We start from the raw sequence: 13,739 nt of genomic DNA, 5'->3' as shown, positions 1-13,739 counted from the left end.
TGTGATTACAGAGGGCAGATCGAGGTTTCTGTTGGACATTGCAACTACTGTCTGCCTGCCCTAGAGAGCATCCAGAATCTTTCTTCTCTTTTTTCCAAACAAACCTCTACCTCCCATCTTGACCTCTCAGTCTTCTACAGGTGATGGCAACTAAGACAAAACTCCAATCTATAATGGCTAGAATACAAGCCCCAATCCTCTCTGGTATTTATCTGTTATTCAATTTTAGCAGGGAACATCTGGGGCACAGGTTGGAGCCCAAGGGATAGAGGAATTTCAGACACTAGAGCAAAACAGTGAAGGAAGGGCTGGGTGCAGTGGCTTATACCTGTAATCCCAACACTCTGGGAAGCCAAGGCGGGTGGGTCACCTGAGGTCAAGAGTTTGAGACCAACCTGGCCAACATGGTGAAACCCTGTCTCTGCTAAAAATACAAAAAAGAAAAAAAAAGTTAGCTAAATTAGCTGGGCGTGGTGGCAAGCACCTGTAGTCCCAGCTACTTGGGAGGCTGAGGCGGGAGAATCTCTTGAACCCAGGAAGTGGAGGCTGCAGTGAGCTGAGATGCACCACGGCATTCCAACCTGGGTGACAGAGTGACACTCCATCTCAAAAAAACAAAACAAAACAAAAACAAGGAAGAACCACTGTCCTGAAGCCTCTGCTGATGTCCAGAGCCAAGCAGTTAAAAAGAAAAAAGGAAAGAAAAAGTGACATCAGAGATAAGATCTCACTGGTGAGCGTATCACTGTCTACCTGGAGTGAGCACTTTGGGTTAATCAAGGAAGAGCAAAGGTGGCATTAGTGTGGCTGAGCTCCTTCTAAAGCCTCTCTTGAATCCACAATCACTATGTGCCTCCGTGTTTGCTCCCTCATCTTTCTACCTTCTCTCCCATACTCTCCTATGTGTACTGATATTCCACAGGGACTTCTTTCAAACCTCCTATTTCTTCTGCATCCATGTCAAGCCACAAGCATTTTCTTTTCTTGGAAACCACCCTAATCCATTCATTTATTGGAGGCTTACCCATCTTTAAGGTAAAGCTCAAATGCCACTCTTCCAAAAACGACTTCCTTGTCATTTCTTCCACCTTTAAACTCTCCTCATATCATAACTAACTTTTCCTTCAATTTTCTTCTTATATCATAACTACCTCATAAGGCAGTTAATTGTATACATCTTTTATTTTTTCTACTAGTTTGTAAGTACCTGCAGCTAGTATAGGCCATGGCACTGAATCTAGGACTTTGCCCTTGCCCTGCATCAGTTCTCAGCAAATGTTTGTTGAATTGTTGACCATTTTCTTTTTATTTATTTATTTTTGAGACAGAGTGTCACTCTGTTGCCCAGGCTGGGGGGCAGTGGCACGATCTCGGCTCACTGCAACCTCTGCCTCCCGGGTTCAAACGATTCTCCTGCCTCAGCCTCCAGAGTAGCTGGAACTACAGGCATGCACCACCACACCCTGCTAATTTTAGTATTTTTAAGTAGAGATGGGGTTTCACCATGTTAACCAGGCTGGTCTCAAACTCCTGGCCTCAAGTGTTCCACCTGCGTCAGCCTCCCAAAGTGCTGGGATTACAGGTGTGGGCCACCGTGCCCGGCCTTGTTGACTATTTTCTAAGATTCAGAGTTTGAGTTTATAACCTAGGCTAGAAGCAGGGAGGTTTTGGGCTGGTTTTTCTGTAATCTCTGGTGTGAACCACAGCCACTCCTTGGCAACTGAGAACAGCCCTTGCTGATGGGTGTGATTCAAGGATGCTGTTGGAGGTTGTGTCTGAGTATTATAGGAAGGACAACTGTATGCTGTGCTTGTGTCTCTCTCATGTAAGTGCAAAACATGAGTGGGGCTGGAAAGAGGGCAAGACATGCAGAGTACATGACTTAGGCTTGAGATGAGAAATACCAGGTCAACAAAGAGAACACTGGCAAATGAATCAGAGCCAGAGGCAGAGCTATGGCGACCCGACTTTGGCCCAGGGCACTCTCCCCAGCCCACTCTGTCTTATCTTTAAGGCTTTCCTGAACCCTCATTAGCTGGCATCCTTTTCAGTCTTTCCTGTTCATCAGAGCATCGTGACACATCAGCTCATCCTAGTATTTTAACCACTGTCCTGAAAACACCCATGGTGGTTCCGGCTAATTTAAAAGGTGATTTCCTGATTTCTTTTTTCCATTTTGGACTGAGTCTAAACAGTACAAAGCAGAGAGAAGAGTGTACAATTATCAAAGCATTTTTCTTTTTCTTTTTCTTTTTCTTTTTTTGGATACAGTCCCAGTCTGTCACCCAGGCTGGAGTGCAGTGGCTCAATCTCTGCTCAGCTCACTGCAACCCCTGCCTCTCAGGCTCAAGAGATCCTCCCACTTCAGCCTCCCAAGTAGCTGGGACTTCAGGTGTGTGTCACCAAGCCCAACTAATTTTTGCAGAGACAGGGTTTCATTATGTTGCCCAGGCTGGTCTTGAACTCCTGGGCTCAAGCAATCCTCTTGCCTCAGCCTCCCAAAATGCTGGGATTACAGGCATGAGCCACCACACCCAGCCCCAAAGCACTTTTTGTTTTGAGACAGCCAAAGTGCATGATTCAGCTCTGAATATACACTTAATCAACTGAATTGTGTACCCCACTCTCTCTGTCACCCGATGACGGTCTCATTTTTCTTTGCTTTATTCACTACAGATACAAGCTTGCTCTTTAGGAGAAATTTTTTGGGTATTCTCAGAGTGTATGAGGAAAAGCTTAGTACTTTGAATGGTTTGTTGGGACTCCATCATCCCTTTGGTAACAAACTCTGAAAATCCACTCATGTTATATTGAGATAAAAAGAAAAATGAACACAAATTAGTATTCAATGCAAAGTATCAAAACTTAATATGCTGCATTATATAGCACATGAAATCTTTCTTTTTCATAACTTTTATAAAGAAAAATTTCCACTATACACAAAAATAGAGTATAATAACTCCCTGTAAATCCATCTCCAAGCTTTAATAACCGTCATATTTTGCCTTTTTTTTTTTTTTGAGATGGAGTTTTGCTCTTCTTGCCCAGGCTGCAGGACAATGGTGTGATCTCGACTCACTGCAACCTCCACCTCCCTGGTTCAAGCAAGTCTCCTATCTCAGCCTCCTGAGTAGCTGGGGTTACAGGCATGCGCTGCCATGCCCAGCTAATTTTGTATTTTTAGTAGAAACGAGGTTTTACCATGTTGGTCAGGCTGGTCTCGAACTCCTGAACTCAACTGATCCACCCGCCTCGGCCTCCCAAAGTGCTGGGATTACAGGCGTGAGCCACCACACCCTGCCATATTTTGCTTTCTTGTTTCATACCTCCCTTCTGGTTTGGCTAGGGTATTTTAAGGTGAATTCCACACATCAATGTCATTTAAAGGTGAATTTTATTTTTCTCACACAAGAAGGCCAGAAATTAGTAGTTGCTGGCTTTGCTTTAGCAACTTGGTGATGACAGGGCACATGTTATTTCTTAGCTTTGTCCACTTGGTCTCAAGATGGCCACTGCCTCTCCAACCACCATGTCTGCTTTCAAGGCAGAAAAGGGCTGTGCCAGCCACCTCTGTCCCTTTTAATAAGAAAACATGTGCTTTATCAGAAGTCCCCCTAGCAGAATTCTCTTGGGTTAGAACTGGCTCATGTGGCATCCTGAGCTGCTAGAGAGGCTGGGAAAACAGTATTTGGCTTTTAAACCTCTATATTGGAGCCAAAAAGGGGGTTGGACTTAAGTGAAATGCGTATCCCCCTACACCAATGTCATCTGTCTTTGCCTTCTGACATATCCTGTCTCCTACACTTTCATAAATTTCTAGCCATACATTCTGTAGGACAAATGGAAAGGAATAAGGGTGTCCATAAACCACTTTGAATGACCAAACAGATGGCAATCAGACAGAGATTGCCTCCAACCTCTAGGAGCGAATGAGTACCTTGGATGCTAAGTACTGTGTTCTGACTGTGTTCCTCAAAATTCATATGTTGAAACTTAATTGCCAATGTGATGGCATTAAGAGGTGGGGGCCTTTAGGAGGTTACTATGTCATGAGGACAGAGCCCTCACGGATGGGATGAGGGCCCTTATAAAGGGGCTTGAGGAAATGGGTTTGCTCTCTACTGCTCTTCCACCATGTGAGTACACAGCATTTGTCCCCTCTTTGCCCTTCTGTTCCTTCTGCCATGTAAGGATACCTCGATGGCATCATCTCTGAGGAATATGCCTTCACCAGCCTCCAAACCTGCCAGTGCCTTGATCTTGGACTTCCCAGCCTCTAGAACTATGTGAAAATAAATTTCTATTGTTTATAAATTACCCCATCTCAGGCATTTTCTTATAGAAGCACAAACAAACTGAGACACTAAGGTAGATAAAGTTTTGTGTGAGTGTGTGTGTGTGTGTGTGTGTGTGTGTATTTTGAGACAGGGTCTCCCTCTGTCACCCATGCTGGAGTGCAGTGGCACAATCTCAGCTCACTGCAGCCTTGACCTACCAGTTCAAGCAATCCTCCCACCTCAGTCTCTCAAGTAGCTGGGACTACAGGCTTGTGCCACCACACCTGGCTAACTTTTAAAATTTTTATTTTTTAGTAGAGATGGGGTTCTCCCTATGTTGCTCAAGCTAGTTTTGAATTCCTGGGCTCAAGTGATCCTCCCACCTTGGCCTCCCAAAGTGTTGGGATTATAGGCATGAGTCACTGCACCTGGCCTAAAGTTGGGTTTTGAGTTATCTGACAATTCTATGTTGGTTTAAGGATATTAGAGGACATTAATGATACAAGAGTGGAGTTGGGGTGAGAGTGAGAGGCCAGGGCAGATTTGCAGAAACAAAATAGAAGCCAGGGTATCATGAGTCAGAAAGTAGCCCTGACATCAAGAGATTTTCACTTTAGCAGGATTTCTAGCTACCTCTGTTCAATATCTCCCACATATGATTTTTGAATGTTTGAAACTCCCCCTTACAGTGGACAAATTGTATCATAGTTAGCAATAATGTTAAAATTTAAATAGTTCTGGAAAATTAACCTTAACTTACTTTTTTTTTTCCAAAATATAAAGGGCTGATAGGAAAAATAATGTCATTCTTATTTAAATAAAGTTCAGGCCAGATGCGGTGGCTCATGCCTGTAGTCCCAGCACTTTGGGAGGCCGAAGTGTGAGGATCGCTTGAGCCTAGGAGTTCGAGATCTGCCTGGGCAACACAGGGAGACCTTGTCCCTACAAAAAACCATTTTTTTAATATTAATAAATAAAGTTCAGATTCTTCACTTCCAGGGGCCAAAAGTAAGAAATCAGTCCTTTTGTGTCCTGTAGCACAGCAGAGTTCTAGTTAGAATATTAAACAAATGGGGCTGAGCACCGTGGCTCACGCCTGTAATCCTAGCACTTTGGGAGGCTGAGGTGGGTGGGTCACTTGAGGCCAGGAGTTCAAGACTAGCCTGGACAACATGGTGAAATCCCATCTCTACTAAAAATACAAAAATTAGCCAGGTGTCGTGGTGGGTGCCTGTAATCCCAGCTACTTGGGAGGCTGAGTCAGGAGAATCTCTTGAACCCAGGAGGCAGAGGTTGCAGTGAGCTGCGATCATGCCACTGCACTCCATCCTGGGCGACAGAGTGAGACTCCATCTCCAAAAACAAACAAACAACAAAAAACCAAAGACTTTGCTGGAGGCTAAATAGCAAAAGGCATAATAAAAGTGAAACAAACAGTCATAGATAATCCAGTTTCTGGTTTTTTTCTTTAAAAAAAATTTTTTTCTTGATTTAATAATCCAGTTTTTCAGACACAGCTTATACTCCATGATTAAAGACCCATGCCATTATTCAGGGAACCCAGGGAAAGATCTTTTGAAGGTATGCCCCTTTAGATTCTGGCTAGAGTTCTGGTTCCCTGTCTGATCTCTCACAACTTACTCACATGACTGACTCCCCAAATGACCTCCCTCTTCAGCTGAGAGGTGTATTCACAAGACTGGGGCCTGACTATGACCTTTGCAGGATATTCATATCAGAATAAAAGACACCATCCCCACAGCCTCAACATTCATACACAACAGGGAAAGGGAATCGCAGCTGGGGGCTGGCAAGAGGTCCAGTGCAATAGGAAAGTAATGTCCATTCAAGAACCAATATTAGCTCCTCTGAGTGGGAAAGGATTCTTCTGAAGAAAAGAAGTAAGGCAGAACTACAAAATGTGGAAATGAGCAGAAGGCTAAGTCTAGGGTCAGAAAAACATAACTCATCTTTTCCAAACAGGTAGTAAGAAGTTCATCACAATAACAGTCAAAGTTAGCATTACTTTATGAGAGCTCCAGGCCCTATGCTTCTGAAAGCCCTAGGGAGAGTTGCATGTTGTTCCTAGAACTAGTCCTGTGGCAATCCTGGGGTGTTGACCCTTTTCCTCTGATGCACTCTGGTGACATATCCCACGGCTGCCTGCCAAAGTCCCCATGCTGAGCACTTCTAGTCTGTGTGCACAGCCTAGCTGTGCAAGGCCCCTGATGCCACCATTAGAGCACATTGCTGGCCTTTCTCCCATCAATGACAAGTCCCTAATGCTGCCTGTAGAGTTGTTGATATTGCCTCTGGGGATATTGATGCCTCTTAACTTACTATAATTTTTAAAACAAAACAACATCTTTTAGTTCCTGCTGGTTCCACTGCAGCCCCTTTGCTCGAAACAGGAGAAATGGAAGGCGGTTGGCCTTGGGAAGGGAGTCCATGTCAGACTTCCTGGCGTGCTCAAAATCATCTCTCTCCTCTACCCAGCCCTTTGTCTTTGAACCAAATGTCAAGTCCCTGCCCCTGGGAAGCCATTATTACCCCAGCAAGCCCCTGGGCTTCTCAAGTTCCAGTCCTCTAGAGGGCCGCCTCCCCTCCAGGACCTTTCCTTGCTCCTATGTAAATCCCTGTGCCTACATCTGCTATGTGTCCGCTGGGGCCTTTGTTATGTATGCCATCTGCTTCACTGCTTTTCTATTTTTCTGCTACCTTATATGTCCTCAGAAAAAGTTAATACTAAGCCTGAAAAATATAGTCCCACACATGTAAAAACCAAGGAAAAAAGCAATACGTGAAATAGTATCGAGAACTTCATCAAAACTGTGTGTAAGCAACAACATTCATTTAAAATGTTTTAAATTATCACCGAATTTAAAAATTATAATACCAATAGAACATTGTATCTTGAGATTGCCTTAACATCATTTGCCTCTCTTATTTGATAAGTAAACTGAGGCTCAGAGAGATTAAATGACTAGTCTAGAGTCACAGAGTTGATCAGTCAAAGGACTAAATTAAGTGAAACTTTCACAAAGTGGAATATCTGAATGGGAACTTATATATCTATATAGCATTAGCGTACATATTCTAATTTGAGGAGGTAAAAAATTCTTTAGTAATCTTGAGCTTTAGCTGTGAACTAAACTGAATTTCAGTTTGAACATTGTCTTCCCACTCCCAACCCTTACCACATCAGCACAATCTTTAAATTCTTTAAAGGTCAAGCAAGTGATAATCACAAAGGAATGGAGTGCTTCCAATTTTACTCTAGCAGGCAATGCAATTTTTATTCATTAGCTTATACAGTTTATATGCAGTTTACCATACTGTTAGTGGATGTCTCTGGAATGTGAGTGCTGCCTGTGGGACTTTGGAACACAGAGATGGCTATAACCAAATAACAGTCAATGAAGCAGAGATTTGTAATTATTTGGTTCATTTGAACCCTTAGGTAGCTTATTTGAGTAACTTAGAGTCCAAAGCCTAGATTTTCTCATGTTAATCAATCTAGCTTTATTTATTTATTTATTTATTTATTTATTTATTTTTGAGACAGAATTTTGTTGCCCAGGCTGGAGTGCAATGGTGTGATCTCAGCTCACTGCAACCTCCACCTCCCGGGTTCAAGTGATTCTCCTGCCTCAGCCTCCCAAGTAGCTGGGATTACAGGCATACACCACCACGCCCGGCTAATTTTGCATATTTAGTAGAGATGGGGTTTCACTATGTTGGTCAGACTGGTCTCAAACTTCTGACCTCAAGTGATCCACCCACCTTGGCCTCCCAAATCCAGTTCTTAACATAGATACACAGTGGGTACTTAATTAATGCTTAATGATGAGGGTGATAACTAACATTTTATAGCATGGTCCTCTCCATCAAATCTTTTTACACACAAAGTACTACTAATAATAAAAGCTTCATTGTATGTTGTATAGTTTCAGGCTGAATAAAAATGCTGGGAGATTAGCCTGGCATGCTGGCTCACGCCTGTAATCCCAGCACTTTGGGAGGCCGAGGGGAGAGAATCACTTGAGCCCAAGAGTTTGACACCAGCCTGGGCAACATAAGGAGACCTCATCTCTACAAAAAATATAAAAATTAGCTGGGTGTGGTTGTGAGTGACTGTGGTCTCAGCTACTCCTCAGGCTGAGGTGGGAGGATCACTTGAGGCAAAACTGACTTTGCAGATTGGGAAATTGGATGGTAGGCAGACAAATCAATGGTTTTCACAATTGGTCTGAGTAGTACAGAGGCATGAGAGAGGAGGTGGCTGGGTTGAGCAGGATCCTAGTTTAGGCTGTAAGAGGTTCTTACCTCCTATTTCCTCTTTCCAGAGCTCCTACTTTGTCTTCATGCTGAGCAGCAAAGCTGGGAGCAACAGAGTGAGACCCTATCTCAAAAAAAATAATAATAATAAGGCCGGGCGCAGTGGCTCATGTCTGTAATCCCAGCACTTTGGGAGGCCGAGGCAGGCGGATCACGAGGTCAGGCGATCGAGACCATCCTGGCTAACACAGTGAAACCCTGTCTCTACTAAAAATACAAAAAAAATTAGCTGGGCGTGGTGGCGGGCGCCTGTAGTCCCAGCTGCTGGGGAGGCTGAGGCAGGAGAATGGCGTGAACCCAGGAGGCGGAGCTTGCAGTGAGCCGAGATGGTGCCACTGCACTCCAGCCTGGGCGACAGAGCGAGACTCCGTCTCAAAAAAAAAAAAAAAAAAAAACAAAGCTGAGAGACCACTGTAAGCATTCTTTCTCTAGCTCAATCTTCAATTTCTTTTTTTAAAATTTGATGACCTATGAAGGACAGGATACAAAAATTTTGTGCCTTTTTAAGAGATATAAACAGGTTGTGATAATTTTTCTTTTTGAAAATATTAGGACAAGTATCAAGAGGAAATGGGCATGCCAAGGTAGGGTCAATTTGGGATCCCCTGCCATGAAATTAGATTTCCTAGTCTAGCCAGGTGCGGTGGCTCATGCCTGCAATCCCAGCACTTTAGGAGGCCAAAGCAGATGGATCACCTGAGGTCAGGAGTTCGAGACCAGCCTGGCCAACATGGTGAAACCCTGTCTCTACTAAAAATACAAAAATTAGCTGGTCGTGGTGGCGGGTGCCTGTAATCTCAGCTCCTCAGGAGGCTGAGGCAGGAGAATTGCTTGAACCCAAGAGGCGGAGGTTGCAGTGAGCCGAGATCGCGCCATTGCACTCCAGCCTGGGTGACAAGAGAGAAACTCTGTCTCAAAAAAAAAAAAAAAAAATTTCCTAGTCTAGAAAAGTGAGTGTGCACAGGCCTGTGGTATAAGTTTATTGACTCAGTGACCATGCAAGGAAAGTGCATGTTGGATGTATGAAAATGGATATATTTGGATATATGTAGGCATTAGCTGCCTACAAGCCTACGAACAGAGAGAAAGTGAACTTGTTTCTTTTTTTCTTTTTATTATGAAAAATTTAAAACATTACAAAGAGTAAGGACATAATATGATAAACACCCATATATCAATCACTTATGTGTAACAATTGTTAGTATTTTGCCTCATTTGCTTAATTTTTTTTTTGCTAAAGTATTTTGAAGAAAATACATGCTGTATACATCCCTAAAAGTTAAGAACAATTTGTCTACACAGCCTCAATGCCTTATCACACCTGACAAAATTAGCAAATGTTCTCTAATATTCTCTAATATCTACTTTACAAAATAAGCTTCACATGGTCATTTCATGGGTAAATGGAATTATGAACATTAAGTAGAGAAACCCATTCTCTAGCGACTGATATTCATCTTTATTGTCCACAGAGGTAGCTTGGTGTTATGAACAGCATTCTAGGGCTGAGGACAGCTGGGTTCTATTTTTGGGTCTGCCACTTACATATTGCTTAATTGCTCTTTGTCTCTTGCTCGTAAACAAAGAGGATGGACCAGTATTTGAAGAGCTGATAACCTGTAGGCCTAAAGATTATTTGGCTGTATTTTCACACATTATTGGGATTGTTCAGGGATGATGCAGGAAGAAATTGTTCTATCATAGTCGCAAACATTATTTCTATCTAAGGTAGCATTTTTTCCCTACAAGAATACACTTGTTTCACTATCTCCTTATTCTTTTCTTCTATGATGCTACTTAGTTGGGTTAAAATGATGGTGTCACTGTGGCTACCCCTTACAAGAAACTGAACCAGAAGATTTTTGGACTTTCCCAGAGTGACACAAGGAAGGAGATGAATGCCTCTAGGTTTTTAGTTCTTGACCAGCGTGATGGCCAGCTTTAAGTATTAACTTGGCTAAGATATAGCAGTACCCAGGTATTTAATCAAACAGTAATCTAGATATTGCCATGAAGGTATTTTGTAGATGTGGTTCACATGTACAATCAGTTGACTTTACATCAGAGAGATGACTCTCAATAGGTAGGGGGTCCTCATCTAATCAGTGAAGGACTTAAGAGCAAAAACAGGTTTCTTGAGAAGAAATTCTGCCTCAAGACTGCAACATCAACTCCTGCCTGAGTTTCCGGCCTGCTGGCCTGCCCCACAAATTTCAGACTAGCCAGCTGCCACAATTGTGTGAGGCAATGCCTTTATTTATTCCATAAAGAGATCATCTAATATATACAGTATATATCCGATTGGTTCTGTTTCTCCAGAGAACCCTAACTGATACAATCTGCTTTATAGACCAGAATAATTTTGAGCATATGTATGGTATATATTGCAAATTAGTTTGGCTTCCTCTCAGAATTTTATTAGTGTGGAATTTTAACTCTTTAGATACATGCTGTTTTGAAATCTAACTGTTTAATATCTAAGAAGAAAAACATTGAGCAAAAACAATACATCACAGATGGCAATGGTTTATTCAAAAGGAGAATAATGAATGCATAGCACTGGAGAAGCACCTGAAACTCCCTGGAATCACCTCCTAAATAAACTGCCTGAGCACAAGTCTTTAGTTCAAGCTCTGTTTTTTGGAAGCATCTAGGTTGAGACAATGACAGAAATTTACTATCAAGGAATGGCTTCAGGCTGTGTGCAATGTCTCACGCCACTAATCTCAGCACTTTGGGAGGCCAAGGTGGGAGGATCACTTAGGCTATGAGTTTGAGATCAGTCTGGGCAACATAGCAAACCCTATCTCTACAAAGAAACAAAATTAGAAAAAAAAAAAATTAGCCTGGCATGGTGACACGTGCCTGTAGTCCTAGTTTCTCAGCTACTCAGGAAGCTGAGGTAGGAGGGTCACTTGAAGCCAGGAGTTCAAGGCTGCAATGAGCTAGATAGTGCTACTGCACTCCAGCCTGGGCAACAAAGACCCTGTCTCTTTAAAAAAAAAAAAAAAAAAAAAGGGTGTGGGGGCGGGTGGGGAATGCCCTGGCCTCAAGAAGCAATTGGACCTGTTCATTAGAAATAATTCAAAATTAATTACTTCAAAATCATTTTTGAACAACAATGTTTTTCAAACATTAGTTTGGAGCTCTTTATATAAAGAAATCTTATTCAGAAATCCAGTGTACAAACAAAGAGAACTGGGCTTCCACTTGTATCCTTCTTCCAGAAAGTGCCTAAAATGTATTTGTGTTAGCGTGCTAGGGTGCCATAACAAAGTAGCACAGACTGCAGGGGGTTTACACAGCAAATGTGTTGTCTTACAGTTCTGGGGGTAGAAGCCTGAGATCAAGGTGTCAGCAGGGCTGGTTTCTTCTGCAGGCTGTGAGGGAAGTATCTGTTCCAGGCTTGTCTCCTTGGCTTGTGCATGGCCACCTTCTCTCCTGTGTCTCCTTACCTTGTCTTTCCTCTATCTATCCCTGAATCCAACTATCACCATTTTATAAAGACACCAGTCACATTGGATTAGAGCCCACTCTAATTGACTTCATTTTAACTTGATTACATCTTTAAAGGCTATCTCCAAATAAGGTTACATTCTGAGGTACTGGGGGTTAGGACTTCAATATATGAATTTGGGAGGGGACACAGTTCAACTCATAATAGTATTTGAACACTTTCAGATCACAGTTTGAAAACCACAATTCTCAGTTGGATAATTTTAAACAACTCCACCCATCGGATTAACATTTCGATTAAAGAGGGGAACTTTATTAAGATCCTTAGGGTAACTGTACTTCTCAAACTTAAGCATTCTACATGAACAATATGAACTTTTTTGAATAGTGGAAGCAGTTTATATAGAAACTCCTGACCTCAAAATTCAATGGTTGTCTTGTGGTGTAGATCTGTTTGGGAAAAGTTTTGGCTAAGCCTACAAAGCCTTACTCTTTCATATCGTTTCTGCTATGCCTGGTTGCTGGAACAGCTGGGTCTCCTATTAATCAGTAATACAGAATGCCTGATTGCGCCCCTCCCTAAAGTTATGGTATAGGTTTATTCTGTGCCCCAAATAACTCCCAATTTTATCAGATTGGGACCTGACAAAACAAAATTTTAACAGAAGAAAAACTCAGAGAAAATATTAAAGGTTATTTTCAAATAAAAGAGTGAAAGAGGGAAATATTCTGAGCAGTTATTTTTTTAAAAGATTTTACAAAACCAAGAAGATAGTGCAGAGTTCCCATATACCACACACCATTTCCCCTGTTATTAACATCTTACATTAGTATAATACATGTATTACTATTAATATACCAGTTTATATGTTCTTATTAATTAAAGCCCACTATTTACTCAGGTTTCCTTTGTTCTATGAAATATTTTTTTTCTGTTACAGGATCCCGTCCAAGATGCCACATTACATCTGATTTTCTTGCCTCCTTAGGTTCCTCTTAACTGTGAGTTTCTCAGATTTTTCCTATTTTTGATGACCTTGACAGTTTTGATGAATATGACTCAAATATTTTGTGGGCTGTTCCTCTCTTGGGATTTATTTGATGTTTTGTGCATTATTAGACTGGAGTTACGGGTTTTTATGAGGGATATCACAAAGGTAAAGTGCCATTTTCATCACATTATATCAAGGGTACCTACTATTAACATGCTCTACCATTGTTGACATTGACCTTGATCACCTGGCTGAGGTGGTGTTTGTCAGATTTCTCCACCATAAAGCTACTCTTCTTTTCCCCCTCCTTTCCATACTGTACTCTTTGGAAGGAGGCCACTATAAATATTCCATGCTTAAAGAATGGGGAGCTGTATTCCACCTTCTTGAGGACAGAGCATCTACATAAATTATTTGGAATTCTTCTGCAAGGGAGATTTTTCTCCTCCCCCATTTATATATTCAATCATTTATATCAGTATGAACTCCTGAATGTTTATAATTTATGGTATAATTCAGTGTGGGTTGAGTATTCTGCTTGGGACCAGAAGTATTTTAGATTTTGGATTTTGGAATATTTGCATATACATAATGAGATATCTTGGAGATGGGGCCCAAGTCTAACACAAAATTCATTTGTGTTTCATATACACCTTATACACATAGCCGGAAGGCA

Source organism: Homo sapiens, chromosome 6, assembly GCF_000001405.40.
Source record: "Homo sapiens chromosome 6, GRCh38.p14 Primary Assembly".
Classification (NCBI taxonomy): Eukaryota; Metazoa; Chordata; class Mammalia; order Primates; family Hominidae; genus Homo; species Homo sapiens.
Note: the sequence above shows the minus strand (reverse complement) of the source record.